Below are 23,096 nucleotides of genomic sequence, written 5' to 3' on the forward strand. Positions count from 1 at the left end.
GCAGGCAGACTGTCATCACAGGTGGTGTGTCCTCCTATCCAGGGACAAGCAGAACTAGCCAAGATTGCCTTCTCCACGCAGCCTCTCCTGATTCCACACTTGTGACTTCATGTTCCCAGAGCGCTGTGCTGGCACGTGTGCTATGATCTTGACTCTGTATGCACCCCGACGCCCAGCTACAAGCAGCTCTACCCTTACCTAACCTTTAAATTGCTCGATTGCCTCATCTGTAAAAACAGGGATGTTAATAGCACCTGTTTCACGGGGTTATTGGAAGGTGTGTGTACATACACACACACACACACACTCATCAATATAGATGAGTATAGATTGTGTGTATGTATACATGCTTAGAACAATTCCTGGCATATAGTAAGTGCTTAATGAACATTACCTATTCTTATTCATGTTAAGTGGCTATGACAATGTGCCAGGGAAGGACATCACTTGTAATGACGGGGGATAACACCTCTTACAAAATCAAGTTGAGGTTCCCCAAAACTGGTCTGTGAAACAGCCTCCAGGGGGCTGTTTGTTAAAGAGACAGATTCTGTGGTCCCACTCCTAGATCTAATGATTTTAAGTCTCTGAGATGGAGCCCAAGAATTAATATTCTTACAACCTGTCCAGGTGATTAGAACAATCAGCCAGGGGCTGGGCACGGTGGCTCACGCCTGTAATCCCAGCACTTTGGGAGGCCGAGGCGGGCGGATCACGAGGTCAGGAGATTGAGACCATCCTGGTTAACAAGGTGAAACCCCGTCTCTACTAAAAGTACAAAAAATTAGCCAGGCGCGGTGGCGGGCACCTGTAGTCCCAGCTACTCGGGAGGCTGAGGCAGGAGAATGGCGTGAACCCGGGAGGCAGAGCTTGCAGTGAGCGGAGATCACACCACTGCACTCCAGGCTGGGCAAGAGCCAGACTCCGCCTCAAAAAAAAAAAAAAAAAAAAAAAAAAAAAAAAAAAAAAGAACTATCAGCCAGGTTTGGGACCCCCTAGGCTAGACCAAGTGTTTCCCCAGCAAATGAGGGTGTGGACTCTGCTGCCATTCTAAAGCCAAGAGGGGTGCTTTCTTTCCTATCATCCATCTCTCCTTTCTTCCTCCCTTGCTTCCTTTTTTCATCAGCATCTTGAACTTCTCTCTGCGGCTGTTCTTTTGCTACAAGAACTCCAAGTGGACCCTGTCCTGACCACGTGCATCCTAAGTACACGGAGTCTTGTTTTCCATCCACTAAATGTCGTTGACCAGTTTACTTTTCATTCCCTGCACAAATAAACGTTTGCTACAAACGTGACTTGTGCATGGCCCCTTGACGGCAGGGGCCAAGTCTGTTCTACTAGAAAGATGCCTTGGAGACCATGTATTCCAACCTCTCTCTTTACCCCTGAAGAACCTAAGGTCCACAGAGGATAAGTGATTTTTACAAGGTCACACAGCAAGCAACCAGAGCGGAGATGACAGCTCAGGTCTCTGGCTTCTTAGCTGCTGCCCTTTCCATTGTCACAGGCTCCTGTTCAAAATACCCCAGAACCACTCATTTATATATCGATTGTGAGTATATGCATTACAAAGTTTTATTTATTGAATACTCTATGTACTAGGCATGGTGCCAACTGCTTTACCTGCATTCTGTCATTTCAGTTTCATAAACAGTTCAGAAATGAGAACATTATTATCCTCATTTCATCTCTGGGACAACTGAGCCTCCAGGAGGTGAAGTGACCTGCTCCAAACCACAGAGCTGGAAAGAGCCAGGATTGCAACCCAGGCCTGTCTGATTGCAGAGCCCGAACTCCTGGCTGTTATGCTGGTCCTTGAGCTCTTGCTTCTCACCTCAAAACCTGCCCTTCCATGTCTACTCTGTGATGCTGGGGCAGGGACCCCACAAACCAGTTTCCGTTAACCAGCTAGTTTGTTTCTGCCTACAGGGGACTAATGGGAGGCTGGAAAGGCTGGAGGAGGAAGGGACTCACTCCCTTCGCTTCCTGTTCCTGAAAGGGTCACCCTCGCAATGCTCCTTCACCCTGGCAGGAGCAAGTCCTTCCTAAGCAGCAGCTGAATCTGCTTACAGTTTTTCCAGCAATTGCAGAAGCAGCTTCATTGCCTGTCTTCCTTAAAAGTTTGGGTCCAGGGACCACGGGGCCTCTCCTGTGAGATTAGGAATACCAGCCCCAGCTGCGCAGTACCCTCTCCTCAGAAGGCCGAGTTTCTCTAATTCCCACTTCTTCCTTTTCTTCTCCCAGCTCTAGGGGCTATTACTTCTATAATACCTCAGCGTTCTATTTTGACCCTTTTGGTTACTTAATTAACAACATCAGAGGCCCGGCCTGGTGGCTCACGCCTGTAATCTCAGCACTTTGAGAGGCCGAGGCGGGCGGATCACGAGGTCAGGAGTTCGAGACCAGCCTGGCCAACATGATGAAACCCCGTCTCTACTAAAAATACAAAAATTAGTCGGGCATGGTGACACGCACCTGTAATCCCAGCTACTCAGGAGGCTGAGGCAGGAGAATCGCTTGAACCAGGGAGGCGGAGGTTGCAGTGAGCCAAGATCCCGCTACTGCACTCCAGCCTGAGCAACAGAGCGAGACTCCGTCTCAAAACAAAACAAACAAACAAACAAAAAACAACCTCATACCTAATTAACAATATATTAAATTCTGTCTCCTTCACCTTGGCAGCCACAGGTCTTTCTGGGAGTGGCAGCTGAATCCACTTTATAGTTTTTCCAACAATTGCAGAACAGCTTTATTGCCCCCACCCTCACTCACCCAGATCCCCACACTAGCCTGCCAGTGCCTCCTCCTCAGAGGTCTGGGTTCCAGTCCGATGGGCCTGTGGACCCAGAGATATGGGCACCAGCCAAGTGCACCTGATGGATGTGACCAATACATTACATGGCACAGTTTAAGTCACTAAAGATGTTTCAAATAACAAGAGGACCTGTGTTAATGGGCAGAGGGCTCAGCAGGAAGCACTTTTTTTTTTTTTTGAGGTGGAGTCTCACTCTGTCACTCAGGCTGGAGTGCAGTGGCACAATCTCGGCTCACTGCAATCTCTGACTCCCGGGTTCAAGCAATTCTCCCTGCCTCAGCCTCCTGAGTAGCTGGGATTACAAGTGCCTGCCACCATGCCTGGCTAATTTTTGTATTTTTTAGTAGAGACAGGGTTTCACCATGTTGGCCAGGCTGGTCTTGAACTCCTGACCTCAAGTGATCTGCCTGCCTCAGCCTCCCAAAGTGCTGGGATTACTGGTGTGAGCCACCATGCCCGGCCAAGAAGCATCTACTGACAAGCAGGACTGTCTAGAAGGAGAGAGTCTGCTCCTTGCTACAGAAAGGGCTTGGGCAGCAAACTAAGTCCAGTGGGGTAGACCAGACCTGGTGTGTGACCAACACTGCCTGTTAACACTGCCTGGGATTTCACCAAAGCGGACATACAAATGGCAAATCAGCACATGAAAAGGTGTCCAATGAAACTTCAATAAAATCACATGGTCCCAACACAAAGAAATAATCCGTGTTTGTGGTGATAGATATACTGATGACCCTGATTTTTTTCATTACACATTCTATGCATGTATCCAAAAAAATCACATGTACACCATCAATTAGTATAATTGTATGTATCAATTTTTTAAAAATTAAAAAAGCAATGAAATGTTACTACATACCTATCAGAATGGCTGAAATAAAAAATAGTGACAACATTAAATGCTGGTGAAGATGCAGAGAAACTGGATCGTTCAGATGTTGCTGGTGGAAATGTAAAATTGAACAGCCATTGGAGTTTGGCAGTTTCTTTGAGAACTAAACATGCAACTATCATATGACAATTGCAATCCTGGGCCTTTGTCCTAGAGAAATGAAAACTCATGTTCACCACACACAAAGCTGTAAAGAATGTTTATAGCAATTTTATTTCTAACAGCCAAAAACTGGAAACAATCCAGATGTCCTTCAACGGGTAAGTGGTGAACAAACTATGGTATGTCCACACCACAGAGCACAACTCAGCCATAGACAGCAACGAACCCTTGCTACGCACAACCTGGATTAATCTTCGGAGAATTATGCTGAATGAAACAACTGAATCCCAAACGGTTGGATACTGCACAATTCCATTTATACAAGCTTCTTGAAATGGCAAAACTAGACATAGAAATGGAAAACAGATTAGGGGTTGCCAGGAGTAAAGGAGGAGTGGGGGCAGAGGGAAGTCAGTGCATGAGGGATCTTTGTGGAGATGAGACTGTTCTGTATCTTGACTGTATCAACGGCAGCATCCTTGTTCTGATGCCTACGATCAAGAGGTAGATAGATAGATGATAGATGATAGATAGATAGATAGATAGATAGATAGATAGATAGATAGATAGATTTTTTTTTTTGAGACAGTCTCACTCTGTCACCCAAGGCTGGAGTGCAGTGGCGCGATATTGGCTCACTGCAACCTCTGCCTCCTGGGTTCAGGTGATTCTCCTGCCTCAGCCTCCCAAGTAGCTGGGATTACAGGTGTGTGCCACCACGCCCAGCTAATTTTTTGTATTTTTTTTTAAGTAGAGATGGGATTTCATCATGTTAGCCAGGATGGTCTCAATCTCCTGACCTTGTGATCCGCCCACCTCAGCCTCCCAAAGTGCTGGGATTGCAGGTGTGAGCTCTCTCTCTCTGTCTCTCTCTCTCTCTCTCTCTCTCTCTATATATATATATATATATCTGTCTCTCTCTATATATATATATATGTGTGTGTGTGTGTGTATATATATATATATACATATATATATGTGTGTGTATACATATATATATGGGATTCACCCACCTCAGCCTCTCAAAGTTCAGGGATTACGGGAGTAAGCCACACCGGCCAGCCAATACCCTACTATAGTTTTGCAAGATGTTACCATTGGTAGAAACGAGGCAAAGAGAACAAAGGATTTTTCTGTATTATTTCTTACAACTACATGTGAATTTACAATTGTTTCAAAATTAGAAGTTTAATTAAAAAGGAAAACCCACCTGAGAGCCCTTTCAAAATACCACTTGCGTTGGGAGACTGGGGTGGGGCCCAGATACGTGGTTTTTTTTTTTTAAGTCTCCCCAAGAGTTGAAAACCACACAATGAAATTATTTCTAAAGCTCCTTCCACTAAAAAGTTGACATTTTTATGTGAAAATATATCAAAATTCGAACGTCTTGTGGATTCAGGCTAGAACTGTTCCCTCCCAGGCTTCCCGGCAGAAGGAGAGAGAAAGGCCCGAGAGACAGAATCAGGATGTGACAGGGGTGGCGCGAGGCGGAGGTGCAGCTCTCTCCTTCACGGTCCAAGGACTTCCAACCGTAGGACTCTTAGTGAAGCATAGCTAATAGCCACAGTGGCCGAGGGTGGGATTAGAACCCACTTTCTGGCTCTGCCTTCCGCAGCTTGGTCAGGGCTCTGGGCAGGACCCCTACGAACACTCCCGCTGTAAGTGTCAGAACAGGTAGAAATGGTTCTAATTATAACCAGTTTTCAAGCATGTGGGTGGAAAGGAATGCCTATTCATGTAAGAGCCGTTCCTGCAGCACAATAACCCCTCACCAAGTGTTCCTGGGCCAGTTTTTGAGAGTGACAAATGGTGCACGCCCAGGCACAGATATCACAAGGGTGAGAAACCCCAAGTTTCTGGAGCGAGAACAATATGACAAAGGTCTTGAGGAGGCAGCGTTTTATGTTACAGGGTAGCTGGGGGTTTTGTTGTCTTTTTTCCTTCCCCCTTCATAATTAGCCAACTCAGCCTCTTCTCCATGCTAAGGAATCACTGAAGACTATGTAAGGGAGAGGAGTCATCAGAGAAGATGCTTTACTGCTCAGGGGCCCCACAGCCTCCCACTCTCTCCCTCCCTTGGCTCTGGCCACCAGACGAGGTTCCTTTTGCCACCCTGAACAGAGAGTGGTGAACTTGTGATCCGGAGCCAGTGAACTTGTGATCCGGAGCCAGTGAACTTGTGATCCGGAGCCAGTTAACTTCACAGCTAATGTGCTGAGCAGCATTCCAGCCAGCGTCTGAAGCCAGAGCAGGGAGGCGGACGGGCCCCAGGAGTTCGAGGTCCGGGAAGCCGAAGCACCACCAAACTGAGCGAGGTTCCAACTCTCCCTCCCAGGAGGTCCGGCTGCCTCCCACCAGCAGCCCAACCACAGGGTCCTGCTCCAGACGTTACTATTTTCTCTTTTTCAGTGTGTCCAGCAGCAACCTCGACTGCCAACAACAACGTGAAAAATAACTGCAGGGCCGGGCGCGGTGGCTCACGCCTGTAATCTCAGCACTTTTGGAGGCCGAGGCAGGCAGATCACCTGAGGTCAAGAGATCGAGACCAGCCTGGCCAATATGGTGAAACCCCGTCTCTACTAAAAATACAAAAATTAGCTGGGCGTGGTGGCACATGTCTGTAATCCCAGCTACTCAGGAGGCTGAGGCAGGGAGAATTGCTTGAACCCGGGAGGCGGAGGTTGCAGTGAGCCAATATCACGTCATTGCACTCCAGCCTGGCGACAGAGCAAGACTCCGTCTTAATAAATAAATAAATAAATAAATAAATAAATAAATAAATAAATAACTGCAGGAGGCTTGGGAATAGGCATCTTCCTCTACTGTGTGTGCTGGCCACTTCCAGTGAGTCACTTCGTCTCTCTGAGCCTTCCAGAGGCTCTGTCTCTGTAGAGCCTTCCTTGTCGTCGTTTAGGAGGGTTAGAGGAGATACCGCACAGTTCCTGAGAACAGAGTGGGAGTTCTGAGAGCAGAGGTGATGGAGATGGTCTATTTCCAGCCTCCAAGGACACCACAAGCCTCTCACTACTGAGCTCAGGTCCTCTGGGCAGCTGAGCTCTTCACAGCTCCGACCTTAATAGGTGTGAAACACCCGACAGCCATTAAATATCATGTTCTCAAAGAACATTTAAGGCTATGAGAAAAGGCTCCCAACTCCTGAGTAATAAGCACAGAGAAGCAAACTCTATATGTAGTAAGTGGCCAGGACTGTTATATGTAGAAAAAAGACTGGAATGAAATCCAACAAAACATTAGCAATGGCATTCCCTGGGTGATCAGAGGATGGGAGAGGGGGTGCATGGGGATGGTTATTTTCATCATTACATTTTTTTTAACATTTATTAAATTTCCACCATGAACATTTATAATCCATAGAAATACTATTTTATGTTTTTGTGCTATATAAAATGTGTTTAATATATATATATATATATATATATATATATATATATATATATATATAGAATATAGAAGAGCTACCTATTTTTAAATCTGGGCCTACCCATAGACTTGTTTGGGAAAAAAAAGCTGGATCTTCTTGCGTTCATGCACTTACCTGGCATTGCTCTGGATGCTGTGGGGGGTGTGGGGGTGCAAGAGACCCAGACCTGACCCTCAAGAAGCTCAACAGTCTAGCAAGAAAGGAAAGACAGGTGTTACGGAAGAAATCTGGCCAAAGTGTTCTAGGAATCCCAAAACGGGAGGATCAAGGAGGACCTCTAGAAGAGATGTCATTGAGGCTGGTTTGGGAAGGAGTTGTAGGAATTCCAGGAATTGCAAGATTGGGACATGTGGCACTATTTCACTTCACTGTAGCCAAACTGGGACAGTGCTTGGGGGCAGGAAAAGCTAGGGCTCCTGCTCCCTAACTTTCTACTCCCTGCTGTTCCCTGGACACAGAATAGAAAATGGTCCCTCTCTTGGCATCACACAAAATCACAGAAGCACAGAGTGTCAGAGGCGGAAGCGTCCTTTAGAGAACATAGAGTCCAATGTCCTTGTTATATATATGAGGAAACGGAGTTCTACTGAGGGGAAGGACCTTGCCACCAAGATCTCCTGATTTTTCATCCAGGAAACCAGCTAGCCTCATATTCAAGGACAGGGTTGGCTTCTGACACTTGCTCTGCAGGTTGCATATTCTAGAAGTAAGCAGCAACGACAGCACCATGACCCCACGGTACTGCTCTGGATGCTACTGAGTCCTCCTTCCTGGTTGTCTTCCATGAGCACAGGCAAGTATCTAGGAATGTTGTTATGGTGTCATGCAAATAGCTACTGACTTCTGGAAAATGAGCCGTCATCTGCCTCAGTCCTGTACCTTGGAGCTCTACACTCTGATGGTGTGTTGGCCTGACATGTCACTGAAATTTATCCTAAGAAAATTAACAATGGCTTCTACAGGCAAATTCCTTCACACATATAAAAAAGAAAGCACCCTCTCTTCCTGGCATACTCAACAGTGCCCTCTCTTGGCACAACCAAGAGCATAACTGTTAAGGACAAAGACTGTAGAGCAGAGCAATGTGAGTTTGAGTTCCTGATCTGCCTCTTGCAAGTTGTCTGATCGTGGGTAATTTACATAGTCTTTCTGTGCCTTCTCTTCCTAATCTATAAAGGATTGTACCTAACCCATAGGGCTGTAATGAGGATTAAATTAAACAAGGATGTAAAGTGCTTAGCACTGTACTGTAAATTCAAGTCATTAGACTGTGAGCCTCAGGAGGGCAGATAGGAGTTGAGTCTGCCTTGTCCATCCTGAATCCCCAGGACCCAACAAAAAGCCTGGCCTTTAACAGAGGCTTGATAAAATTTGATGAATGAATGAATTTGCTAGCCCAAATTAAAGATTCACTGCTGTGATTGACATATCTTACAGTGTCCTCTACTTGGATTCCAAAAACAAATTAAGAACACTCAGAAGCTGATCTTACAGGTTTTCACTAAAGAATTACTAGCAGGAGAAAAGGAGGTCTTATTTCCAGCAGGATGGTGTACTAGATATTCTTTAGACACTCCCACCAGAAACAACCAAATATGCCAGCTAGAAGGGAAAAAAAGCTTTAATTGCATCAATTAATTCTCAAAAACATAAGGCATATTCAGAACCAAAAACTAAGTGAAGACTGGAACTCAGAGATGTTAATGATGCCCTTAAGCTACGTGGAGTGGAGATCGGAGACAAAGCCCAGAGCCCACCCAAGGTGAGGACTGCAACAGAAAATCCCCTCTGCAGAAAACCAAGACCCCAAAAAGTTATACATTGGTGTCAAGGTGAACTAGAACGAAACCACCCTACTCTGTACTCCCTAGGGACTACAAGGCAAATTGCTTATACTGAGCCTTGGCAATGATCGTAGAGGGGAAACCTCTCCCTTAGAATTTGTAGCTACAAGCCAATCCCAATAAGAGGATTTACAGCCTGAATTCACTCTACTTGGGTGGTCCAAAAATACCAAACCAAGAATTAATTTAAAGTGGTCTCAAATTGGTAACGACCACAGGCTTCTGGCAGAAGTCAATGCAAATCCCCTGTAGGAATCCACCTTCAACACAGTCTCAAAGATTGCCCAGAGATAACATTCCGATAGATGAACCCACTGTCACAATTCCATAACACACAAGGTAACCAGGAATCAGCAGAAACAACAGGTAGTAGATTTAGACCCATGAAGACCTCAAACACTGGAATCATTAGACATAGGATTTTAAAAGATTTCAACATGTTTAATGATGTTTTCAAAGGGTATTCGCAATTATGAGTAAAGAGTGGGCATTGGCTGGGTGCAGTGGCTCACGCCTGTAATCCCAGCACTTTGGGAGGCTGAGACAGGCAGATCACTTGAAGTCAGGAGTTCGAGACCAGCCTGGCCAATGTGGTAAAACCCCGTCTCTACTAAAAAATACAAAAATTAGCTGGGCATGGTGGTAGGCACCTGTAATCCCAGCTACTTTGGAGGCTGAGGCAGGAGAATCGCTTGAACCCAAGAGGTTGAGGCTGCAGTGAGCCAAGTGCCACTGCACTCCAGCCTGGGCAACAGAGTATGACTCCATCTCAAAAACGCAAAATAAAAAAACAGTGAGCATCTAGAAAAGTGACTTCATAGATTTTTTAAAAAGAACTTCTAGAAATGAAAAAACAGAATGACTGAAATTTATAACTCGGTAGATTAGTTTAACAGTAAATTAGACACAGTTGAAGAAGAATGAAACACAGAAATCACAGAAGTAGAAAATAAAGAAGAGAGAGTAAGATACATGGAGAATAGTGTGAAAAGTTGTTACATATACCTAATCATGATTACAAAAGGAAAGGAGAAAAAGAATGGGGCGGAGGCAATATTTGAAGAGACAATGGTCACAAAATCACCCAGCATCTCTAGAAATGTTCATGAATTTCATAAATATTGCATAAATAATGAAAGTAAATAGCCACACATTTAAGAATCCAAAAAAAAGCCCAAGCAGATAAATAATCAGAAATCAATACCTAATAGGGTTATGATATTTAGCAAATAAAAATACAAAACTCCCAGTTAAATCTGAATTTCAGATAAGCAATGAAGAATGTTTCTTAGTATAAATATGCCTTATGCAATAACTAGAACATACTGATACTAAAAATGTATTTGTTGTTTGTCTGAAATTCAAAGTTAGCTGAGCATTCTGTATTTTTTCTGGTAACTCTAACACCTAGACATAGCACAGTAAAGCTGCAAAACACCAAAGAAAAAAGAGAAATTTATAAAAGCAGCCAAGGAGATGAGACAGATGGCCTCTAAGTCAATGACAATTAGATTAACAGCTGACTTCTCAACAGCAATAAGAGTTGCCAAAACACAGTGGAATAATGTCTTCAATATGTTGGAAAAAACATAACTAGTATTCTATAGCTAGAGAAAATAGATTTTTAAATGGGACTGAAACAAAGACATTTTCAAACAAATAAAAACTGAGCCAAGTCTGCCATAAACAGATCTCCCCCGCCATTTTTTTTTAATGCTGAAGTACTCCTTCAGCAGGAGAAAAGTGATCCCAGATGGAAGTCAAAGATGCAAAAAGAACAGACAGCAAGGAAGATGGTGACTATGTAAGTAGATCCAAGCAATAGATTGACCAAACCATTAATATTATAAGGATTAAAAACCCAAGGTGGTGGCCAGGCACAGCAGCTCACACCTATAATCCCAACACTTTAGGAGGCCAAGGCAGGAGAATCACTTGAGCCCAGGAGTTCATAACCAGAAGCAACACAGAGAGACCCCCGCCTCTGCAAAAAAAAACTTTTTAAAAAATTAGCCAGGCATAGTGGGGCATGCCTGTGATCCCAGCTACTCAGGAGGCTGAGGCAGGAGGATTGCTTGAGCCCAGGAGATAGAGGCCGCAGTGAACCATGATTACACCACTGCACTCTAGCCTGGGTGACAGAGTGAGACCCTGTCTATTAAAATAAAATTTTTAAAAAGTGGAATTTAAATACATGACAACAATAGAATGGAAGAGGGATGATGGAGTTTTAGAAGATGCTTGTATTTGTGGGGAGAGGATAATGGTGATTAATTTTAGAATCTGATTAAGTAAGTGAGTATAGAATAATGACTAAAAGAACTACAGTAAAGTATATAACTTTTAAGGCAATAATTATGATGGAATTAGAAAAATAATCACTCTCCCCAAAATGGCTAGAAAAGGCAGTAGGAAAAAAACAGAAGCAGCAAAATACAAAGAAAAAAATACAAATAAATTGTAGACTACCTAAAATCTCAGTTATCAGGGTAGGTTTTTTAAAAACGAGGTAAGTACCATTTATGAGAGTGACAATGAAAACATAAATACCCGGAAAGGCTAAAAGGGAAAGAATAGAAAAATATACTCTAGGCAAATACTAACAAGATGAGAAAAGATTGGGTAGTTATATTAACATCAATTAATTTAACACAAAAGGTGTCTTTAAGGATAGAGAAGGTCACTAACTAATAATAAAAGGTTCATTTTACCAGGAAGATATAATAATTCTAAACCTATATGCAAGTGATAATATAACCTAAAAACATTTAGGGGAAATTTGACAGAAATTGACAAATCCACCATCATAGTAGAGATTTTAACACATTTTTTTCAGTAATTGAAAAACTAAAAACACAAACCAAAAGTAATCAGTTAAGCATGTAAAAAATTTGACTGAAATAATTAAGAAGCTTGATGTGATGAATATGTATATAGACTATTGCACTCAGCATACTTTCAAGCATAAATGAAACAATTTTCATAAATATTTCAAAGATTTGGTGTCATGCAGATCAGATTCTCTAAGCACAGTACAAATGAATTAGAAAATCAATGACAAAAACCTAACTGAAGGCCGGGCGCAGTGGCTCACGCCTGTAATCCCAGCACTTTGGGAGGTGGGCAAATCACGGGGTCAGGAGATCGAGACCATCCCGGCTAACACAGTGAAACCCCGTCTCTACTAAAAATACAAAAAATTAGCTGGGTGTGGTGGGGGGTGCCTGTAGTCCCAGCTTCTCGGGATGCTGAGACAAGAGAATCGCTTGAACCCGGGAGGCGGAGGTTGCAGTGAGCCAAGGTCATGCCACTGCACTCCAGCCTGGGTGACAGAGAGAGACTCCGTCTTGAAAAAAAAAAAAAAAAAAACTAACTGGAGAAGCTCCATATGTTTCCTAATTTATAATAAAAAAAATTTCTAATTGACTCCTGGACCAAAAACAAAATCAGAGTAGAAATTAAAAGATATTTAGAATGAAAATATATAAAAAACTTGTAAGATGCAGGCCAGGCACAGTGGCTCACACCAGTAATCCCAGCTCTTAGGGAGATAGAGGCGAGGGCATAGCTTGAGCCCAGAAGTTCGAGTCCTGCCTGGGCAATATAGCGAGACCTGGTTCTCCACAAAAAGGGAAAAAAAGAAAAAAACAAAAACAAAAAAACTTGTAGGATGAGCTATAGCAACACTTAGAAGAAAATGTATAGCCTTACGTGGTTATATCACAAAGAATGAAGGATGAAAACTGAGTTAAATATCTACTTAAATAACTCCAAAGAAAGTGGAATGAAGGAAATGATAGAGTAGAAATTAATGAAATCGAGAACATACATTTTAGATGATTAATATATCTAAAAACGAATTAGTTGAAAAAAACCAATAAACCTGAATCTAAATCATGAAGAAGCAATCAGACAAATTCGAATTTAAGGATGCATTAATTTTCTATTGCTGCTTTAACAAATTACCGCAAATTTAGTGGATGAAAACAACATGAATGTATTATTTTACAGTTCTGTAGGTCAGTAGTCTGAGATGGATCTCACCAGGCTAAAGTCAAGGTGTCAGCAGGGCTGTATGCCTTTCTGTGGGCCCTAGGGGAGGATCCGTTTTCTTCCTCATTCTGGTTATTGGCGGAAATCAGCTCCTTGTGGTTGCAAGACTGAAATCCCCATTTCCTTACTGGCTGTCAGCTTAGGGCCATTTCCAGCTTCAAGGGGCCACCTCCATTTCTTGGCTCACATCCCCTCTTCCATCTTCAAAGCCAGCAACAGCAGGTTGAGTCCCTCTCACGCTTTGAATCTCTCCTCCTTCCACCTCATCTCTCTGACCCAGCCCATAAAGGTTCTCTACTTTGAAGGACCCATGTGATTAGATGGAGCCCACCTTGATAATCTAGAATTCTCTTACTATCTCAAGGGCCCTTAATCACATCTCCAAAGTCTCTTTTGCCATATAAGGTAACATAACCACAGGTTCCTGAGATTAGGGCATGGATATCTTTGCAAGTCCATTTTTCTGTCTATAGAGGGACATTCTGTTAACTGTTCTGAACCTTTCAAAAATGCCAATGTTATAAAAGACTTAAAAAAAAAAAAGGCTGGTAACCTGTTGTAGATTAAAGGAGAGCAAAGAAGCATGACAGTTGAATGCAATATGCAATACCTGATTAAATCCTGGATTAAAAGAGATAAAACAGCTATAAAGTTCATTATTTTGACACTGGAGAAATTTGATTTTGGACTATATATTAGATCATAGTATTTTACCAATGTTAAAGTTCCCACGTGTGATCATCGTATTGTGTTATGTAGGAGAATGTCTTTTCTTTTAGGAAATATATGATTAATTGTTTCTGGGTAGAGTGTCATGAGATCTCTAACTTACCCTAAAATAACTCTGAAATCAATGAGAGAAAGAGAGAGGGCAGAGGGAGAGAGAAGAGAGAAAGAGGAGAGAGAGAAAAAAAAGAGAAGAGAGAGAAAGTGGGCATAGATGTAGCAAAATGTTAACATTTGGTGAATCTACGTAAATAATGAATAAGTCTTGCAACTTTTGATAGGTTTCAAACTTTTCAAAATATGTTGTGTCAGAATTTATGCTGAAAGAGACAAGATTAACAAAACTGAAAGATGTTCTGACAAAACTGATTTTTAAAACTGAAAATTCAAATAATAATAGAAATGAAAAAGAGGTCATAACTGCAGATGCTATGGAGAATGAAAAGATAAGGAGCAGATATTACAAACAATTTGAATGCTTAGACAAATTAGACGAATTCCAAGGAAGAAGTATAAATTACCAAAACTGACTCAGGAAGAAATAGAAACTCTGAATAACCCTAAAACTATTTAAAATTTTTGCTTCCATATAAACCTCACAAAGAAAAGATCAACAAAGATGATTTTATCCAAAAAAACTGGGAGTAAATATTTCCAAATTCACACAAACTATTTCAGAATCATAGAAAAGACAGAACACTCCCCAGCTCATTTCATTATGCTTAACCTTGATTCTAAAACCTATTAAGGGCAGTATGATGAAGAAAAATTACATGCCAAGCTCACTCACGAACATAGATGTAAAAATCCTAAGTAAAATACTAGAAAACCAACCCCAATCTCACTCATGAACATAGATGCAAAAATTCTAAGTAAAATACTAGAAAACCAACCCTAGCAATAGGTAACAAAAAGGGTAATAAATACACCATAACCAAGTTGTGGTTATTATTTCAGAACCCAAGATTGGCTTATCATTACAAAACCACTTAATATACTTCACCACATTAACAAATTAAAGAAGAAAAATAGTCTGGGCGAAGTGGCTCACGCCTGTAATCCCAACACTTTGAGAGGTCGAGGTAGGCGGATCACGAAGTCAGGAGTTCGAGGCCAGCCTGGTCAACACAGTGAAACCCCATCTCTACTAAAAATACAAAAAAATTAGCCAGGCATGGTGATGGGTGCCTATAATCCCAGCTACTCAGGAAGCCGAGGCAGGAGAATCACTTCAACCCGGGAGGCGGAGGTTGCAGTGAGCCAAGATTGTGCCATTGCACTCCAGCCTGGGTAACAAGAGCAAAATTCCATCTCAAAAAAAAGAAAAATAGGCCAGGAATTGTGGCTCATGCCTATAATCTCAGCACTTTGGGAGGCTGAGGCGGGCGGATCCCTTGAGTCCAGGAGTTCCTGGGCAACATGGTGAAACACAGTCTCTACAAAAAATACAAAACTTAGCCAGGCCATGGTGGTGCGTGCTTGTGATCCCATTTACTTGGGAGTCTGAGGTAGGAGGATTTCTTGAGCCCAGGAGGAGGAAGTCAAGGCTCCAGTGAGCTGAGATTGCACCACTGCACTCCAGCCTGGGCGACAGAGTAAGACCCTGTTTCAAAAAAAAAAACAAAAGACGAAGAAGAAGAAAAATGATGTGATCATTTCAGTTACACAGAAAAATCATTTGGTATAATTCAATACCCATTCATGATAACAAAAATAAAAGTTTGCAAAGTAGAAGTAAAAGGGTGATTCTGCTGAAAGCATTTGAGAAAAAAAAGTAAAAAGGAAATCTCTTAACTTGTTGAAGGGTACCTGAGAGAAAGAGAAGAAATAAATCTACCTTAATCAAACATCATACTCAATTATGAACACTGAAAGCATTCTCTTTAAGATCATGAGCTGGTTAGGGGTCTCATTATGGAGACCCTATCAATGGCTCTACTTCTCACTATACTGAAGTTCCTAGCTAATGTAGCTACAGAATACTTACAAACAAGAGGTATATACATGAAAAACGAAGAAAAATAATGCCATTATTATGTATAGAAACAAAATTTACACACAAATTATTAGAATTAATAAAAATATGAAGAATGATTACAGAATACAGAATAAGTCTATAGGAATCCATTGCATTTCTTTTTTAAAATTTCTTGTTTTAACTTTTTTTGTTATTTGTTTCGTTTTTTTTGTTAGTTTTTTTTGAGACAGTCTCACTGTCGCCCAGGCTGGAGTGCAGTGGTGCGATCTCGGCCCACTGCAACCTCCGCCTCCCAGGTTCAGGCGATTCTCCTGCCTCAGCCGCCTGAGCAGCTGGAACTACAGGGGCCCACCACCAAGCCCAGCTAATTTTTATGTTTTTAGTAGAGACGGGGTTTCACCAGGTTGGCCAGGCTGGTCTCGAACTCCTGACCTCAAGTGATCCCCCTGCCTCCACCTCCCAAAGTGCTGGGATTACAGGTGTGAGCCACCGCCCCCAGCCTGTTTTAACTTTTGTATTTTAATCTTTAAAAAAAAAAAAATTGTAAATATTTTCTTGTCATTATTTTAATCTACAAACCCTTGTGTCGAAAGCTGACTTTCAATAGATTGCAGCGAGGGAGCTGCTCTGCTAAGTACAAAACCCCGACCCAGAAGCAGGTCGTCTCCAAGTAGTTTAGCTCCAGGAATCCATTGCATTTCTAAACACCAGCAATAAAATTTGAAAATGACAGTTTAAAAATACAATGTAGTATAAACAAAATTTGCAGTAACATCAAAAAAATATAAAGTACCCAGGATCAAATCAAACAAAAATTGTGCAAGGCCTTTGTAGCGAAAATAAACATCTCTCTTTAAATAAATGCAGAAAGATACCATCAATCAAAAGACACAACAAAATAAACACAACAGTTTTCCCTCCACTGCTCTATAAATTCAGTTTAATTCCATTCAATTCCAATAAAACCCCAAGCAGTATTTATTTTGTAGAACATTCAGCCTAATTGTACAATATATGCCACAGTACAAAACACAAAAATACTTCAAAAGAGAAACAAAATGGGATTTGTCTTTAAAAATATCAAAGATTATTTTAAAGCTGTTAATTATTAAGACAATGAAATACTGTCATGGGATAGAAAAATTGATCAATAGAAAGAATAGAGGCTAGAAAGAGAAATATATCAACATAAGAGTTATGACCTGGCTGGGCACGGTGGCTCACGCCTGTAATCCCAGCACTTGGGGAAGCCAAGGCGGGCAGATTACCTGAGGTCAGGAGTTCCAGACCACCCTGGCCAACATGGCAAAACCCTGTCTCTACTAAAAATACAAAAATTAGCCGGGCATGGTGGCAGGCACCTGTAATCCCAGCTACTCAGGAGGCTGAGGCAGGAGAATCATTTGAACCTGGGACGCAGAGGTTGCAGTGAGCCGAGATCACACCACTGCACTTCAGCCTGGGTGACAGAGCGAGACTCTGTCTCAAAAAACAAACAAACAAAAAAAGTTATGACCAACTTGGCATTAAAGATAAATGAGAAAAGGATGGGTTCCTCAAAGATGGCTGCAAGACAATTGGTTATATGTAGGGGAAAGAGGTGACATTAGATCCTTACCTCACACCATACACTGAAATGAGTCAAAGGTAGATTAAGGACTTAAAAAACTTTTTAGTAGACAAAAGAGAATAATTTTTTATGACTTTGGGGTAGGAGAAGGACTTCTTAAACAAGAGATAAAAGAACTTACCACAAATGAAAAGAATGATAAAATTGATTCATTAAAATGTGAACTCCTTTTTTAAAAAATTTTTATTTCCATAGGTTATTGGGGAACAGGTGGTGTTTGCTTACATGAGTAAGTTTTCAGTGGTGATTTGTGAGATTTTGGTGCACCTATCACGCAAGCAGTATACATTGCACCCAGTTTTTAGTCTTTTATCTCTCACCCCATTCCCACCCTTTCCCCCTAAGTCCCCAAAGTCCACTGTGTCATTCTTATGCCTTTGCATCCTCATAGCTTAGCTCTTACTTATGAGTGAGAACATGCAATGTTTGGTTTTCCATTCCTGAGTTACTTCACTTAAAATAATAGTCTCCAATCTCATCCAGGTTGCTGCAAATGCCATTAATTCATTCCTTTTTATGGCTGAGTAGTATTCCATCGTATATATATATACCGCATAAAATGTGAATTTCTTTTATCAAAATGCATTATAAACAAAATGAGCAAACAAGCCACAAACTGGGGAAAGACATTTACCACCCGTAATCAGATTAACATCTGATATAGAACTCTTATAAACCAAGAAGTAAAAAATAAAACAATCTAATAGAAGACTTAAAGCAAGCAGTTCACAGAAGAGAAAACCCAAATAACTAATAGACATGTAAAGACATCCAACCTCATTAGTATTCAGAAAATGCAAATTAAAACTGTAATGTGTTACCACATTTGCAGAATCACAAAGTCTAATCATATTGAGTATAATCAAGGATCGTGGAACAGTACATTGTTGAACAAAGTCGGTCATAGTGCTTGATTCTGATCTTACAGGGAATATATATACTGCTGGTGGGAGTGTAAATTGAATCAAGCCCCTTAGAAAACAATTTTATGTTATATGGAAAAGCTGACAATGTACCTTCTCTTCCCCTCCTAGGTACCTACTCTGGAGAAATTCTGTACACACGCACTAGAAAATGTAGACAAAATGCTCATAGTAGCACTGTTTGTAACAGCAAAAACTGGAAACAATCAGAAAGTCAACCAACTAGAGAATGCATAAAACAAATGGGGAGCATAAATAAATACATGTAGAATGTGAGATAATATGACAGAGAAAATAAATAATGAATTACAACTATGTACAGCAACATGGATGTATCTCAGAAACAAAATGCTGACTATTAAAAGCAAGTCGTGGAAGAATATAAGATTATATGCTTATGAACTTCAAAAATGCAAAAACTAGACAATATTTATTCTCAGAAATATAGTCATACAGTTAAAATACCTCTGAGGTGGGAAGGTTAGGGGATAAGATTGAAAAGGAGGCACACAAAGGACCTCAAATGTAATGGTAAAGTTGTTTTCTTACAAAAGGTGGTGAGTGATGGGGAGGAAGAGAGGAGTCAATGTTAATTCATTGAGGGAGGTTTTCCAAGTCAGTTTTCACTGAAAGGAGGGAAGATGGGCCCCGTGTACCCTTTACTGAGTGTGTTGGAAAGCAGAGATGAGGAAAATTGGGAGAGACAAGCAAGTAGGAGAGATCGGACAGTCTGGTGGGGACAATGGAAAGGGCAGACCACAAGTTGGGGGAGGATGGAAAGGTCCCCATTAAGGCCTTTACTATGTGTCAACTCATTAATCCTTACAATCCAATGAGAGAGGTATTATACTCATTTTACAGATGAGGAAACTGACATACTCAGGACACTTGGCTGACTCCTCTTCTAACTCTCAAGTACCCCAAGGTTCATCTCTTAGGCTTCTAGGAACTCACCCAATCCACAGCTTTAAATGTCACCTGTCCACCGAAGACCCTCACATTGATTATCTCTAACCGAACCTCCCCTGTTAGCTCTAGCAGCCTGCTCAACTTCCACACTTGGATGTCTAATCAGCATCCCAAATCTAACACATCGAATGGAAATGCTTGCTTTTTCTCAGGGGCAAAGCATCAGGACCCAAGCATAGTGAGGAAGACATGTGTACAGGAGGTCAGCCCTCAGTAGGGTGAAATAAATAGAAAAGTAATGAGATACCTGGGAGCAGCTGCCACCACCCCCACCCACAATAGCAACCAGCACACCTAGTGCCCAGATCTTGGTTTCTAAATACATTCTTTCCTGAAAAGAACCACACATCCTTAGAGAATTGGTTTGTTCCAGGGCTAGGGCATGGAAAGTACAAGATGGGCCTGGAACATCTTGTTGTACCAGAAAGAAAGGAAGCACTGTCCTTTCAAAATGACAGAAAGCAGCCTAAAAGGGCTCCCACTGGCTAAATCAGGGACGATTTGAGTCTTAAAAATAATATAATAATTTAAATGTAATCCATCACATCAACAGGCTAAAGAAGAAAAATCACATGATCATATCAATAGATGCAGAAAAAGCATTAGACAAAATCCAATACCAATTCATGATTTAAAAAAATAAGTAAAAACTCTCAGCAAACTAGGAATAGAGAGGAACTGCCTCAACTTCACAAAAAGCATCTACCAAATAAACCCACAGGTAACATCATACTTCACTTGATCTTAGCCAAAAGGCCGTGAGGCTATAGATAACATCATACTTAATGGTGAGAAACTAGAAGCTTTTCTAAGATCAGGAAAAAGGCAAGGATGTCCCTTCACACAACTCCTTTTCAACATACTGGAAGTCCTAGCTAATGCAATAAGAAAAGAAAAGACATACAGGTTGGGATGGAAGAAATAAAACTGTCTTTGTTCACAGATGACAGGAATATCTATGTAGAAAATCTGAAAGAATCAAGAAAAAAGAAACTTCTGGAATGAATAGCAATTACAGCAATGCCACAGAATACAAGGTTAATATACAAAAGTCAATCACTTTCCTACGTACCAGCAATGAACAAGTGGAATGTGACATTAGAAACACAATACCGGCCAGGCACAGTGGCCCACTCCTGTAATCCCAGCACTTTGGGATGCCAAGGTGGGTGGATCATTTGAGGTCAGAAGTTCAAAACCAGCCTGGCCGACATAGTGAAACCCCATCTCTACTAAAAATACAAAAATTAGCTGGGCGTGGTGGTGGGCACCTGTAATCCAAGTTACTTGAGAGTCTGAGGCAGGAGAATCACTTGAGCTCCGGAGGCAGAGGCTGCAGTGAGCCAAGATCATACCCCTGCACTCCAGCCTGGGAGACAGAGCGAGACTCCATCTCAAAAAACAAAACAACGAAACAAAAAAATGCCATTAGCACCCCAAAAATGAAATACCTAATTATAAATCTAACAAAATATAAGTACAAGATCTATATAAGGAAAACTACAAAACTCTGATGAATTAAATCAAAAACTAAATAAATGGAGAGATAGTCCATGTTCATGGAATATGAACTGGAGAGATGCCAGTTCTCAACTTGATCTATAGATTCAATACAATCTCAATCAAAATCCTGACAATTATTTTGTAGATAGTGACAAACTGATTTTATATGGAGTGGCATATAACCCAGAATACCCAACACAACAATGAAAGAGAGCAAAGTTAGAGGACTAACACTATTCAACTTCAATACTCACTATAGAGCTACAGTAATCAAGACAGTGTTGCACTGGCAAAAGGGGAAGCAAATAGATCAATAGAGCATAATAGATAATCCAGAAATAGACCCACATAAATATAGTCAACTGATCTTTGACAAAGGACCATGGGCAATACAGTGGACCAAAAATAGTTTTTTAATCAACAGAAACTATTTTGTTGATTAAAAATGGTGTAAGAATAGCTGGACATTCACATACGAAAAAAATGAATCTAGACACAGACTTTACACCTTTCACAAAAATTAACTCAAAATGAATCAGAGACCTAAATGTAAACCACAACATTATAAGATTCCTGGAAGATAATATAGGAGAAAAACTAGTTAGCCCTGTGTGAGGCAATGATATTTTAGATACAACATCAAAGGCAAAATCCATGAAAGAAATAATTCATAAGCTGGACTTCACTAAAATTAAAACCATCTGCTCTGGGAAAAACGTTGCCAAGAGAATGAGAAAACAAGCCACAGAATGGGAGAAAGTATTTGCAAAAGTCATATCCAATAAAATACTGTTATCCAAAATATACAGCCAGGCACCATGGCACACACCGGTGGTCCCAACTACTCAGGAGCCTGGGGCAGGAGAATTACTTGAGGCTAGGAGTTTAAGGCTGTAGTATGCTATGATCATTCCTGTGAATAGCCACTGCACTCCAGCCTGGGCAACATAGCAAGACTCCAACTCAGGAAGAAAAAAATACAAATAACTCATAAAATTCAACAATAAGAAAATGAACAACCTGATTAAAAAATGGGCAAAAGACCTGAACAGACCCTTCCTTCACTAAAGATGATATACAGATGGCAAATAAGTATATGAAAAGATGCTCAATATCATATATCATTATGGAATTGCAAATTAAAACAAAAATGAGATATCACTACATACCTGTTAGAATGTCCAAAATCCAACAGGAACTCTCATTCATTGCTGATGGGAGTGCCAAATGGTACAGCCACTTTGGAAAACAGTTTAACAGTTTCTTACTAAACATAATATACTAAAAACTAAACATATGATCAAGCAATCGTGTTCCTTGGTATTTATCCAAATCAGTTGAAAACATGTCCACAAAAAACCCTACACACAATGTTTATAACATTTTTGTTGCCAAAACTTGGAAGCAACCAAGTTGTCTTTCGGTAGGTGAATGAATAACTAAACTGTGGCACATCCAGACAATGGAATATTATTCAGCACTATAAACAAACTACCAAGCTATGAACATTTGAATGCACACTATTAAGTGAAAGAAGCCAATCTGAAAGGTCTACATACTTATAATTCCAATTCTATGACATTCCAGAAAAGGCAAAAATATGGATGGGGAGGGATGAATAGGAAGGGCGCAGAGGATTTTTAGGACAAGCGAAACTATCCTATATGATACTATAATGGTGGATACATGTCATCGTACATTTTTCAAAACCCATAGAACGTACAGCACCAAGAGTGAATCCTAATGTAAACTATAGACTTTGGGTGGTTCACTAATTATAAAAAATGGACCACTCTTTCATGGAACATTGATAGTGGAGAGGCTCTGTATATGTAGGGTGAGGTGGTAGATGGCAAATCTGTGTAACTCCCACTCAATTTTTCTGTGAACCAAAAACTGTCCTGAAAAATAAAGCCTATTAAAAAAAAAAACAGGCCAGGTGCGGTGGCTCACACCTGTAATCCCAGCACTTTGGGAGGCCAAGATAGGTGGATTGTTTGAGCTCAGGAGGCAAACTGCAAAAACACTAGCCTGTAATCTTCAAAAGCATCAAGCTCATGGAAATCAAAGAAAGGCTGAGGAGCTGTTCCAGAGTGAAGGGAAGTAAAGAGACATGACAGCTGTCTGATTCTGAATCATGTCTTTTGCTATAAAGCACATTATAGGGACAACTGGAGGACCTTGAATGGGGTCTGAAGATTAGACAGCAGTGACAAATC

The 23,096-nt window shown here is 41.1% G+C and overlaps 3 annotated features.

Moving 5' to 3' along the window:
• Window positions 3-82: an enhancer, noted in NCBI's record as "active region_449". NCBI's record gives its function as "activates an Ori minimal core promoter by ATAC-STARR-seq in GM12878 lymphoblastoid cells {active_cell/tissue: GM12878}" and the evidence as "EXISTENCE:reporter gene assay evidence [ECO:0000049][PMID:35858748]".
• Window positions 5,654-5,813: an enhancer, noted in NCBI's record as "active region_450". NCBI's record gives its function as "activates an Ori minimal core promoter by ATAC-STARR-seq in GM12878 lymphoblastoid cells {active_cell/tissue: GM12878}" and the evidence as "EXISTENCE:reporter gene assay evidence [ECO:0000049][PMID:35858748]".
• Window positions 5,824-5,913: an enhancer, noted in NCBI's record as "active region_451". NCBI's record gives its function as "activates an Ori minimal core promoter by ATAC-STARR-seq in GM12878 lymphoblastoid cells {active_cell/tissue: GM12878}" and the evidence as "EXISTENCE:reporter gene assay evidence [ECO:0000049][PMID:35858748]".

Source organism: Homo sapiens, chromosome 1, assembly GCF_000001405.40.
Source record: "Homo sapiens chromosome 1, GRCh38.p14 Primary Assembly".
NCBI lineage: Eukaryota > Metazoa > Chordata > Mammalia > Primates > Hominidae > Homo > Homo sapiens.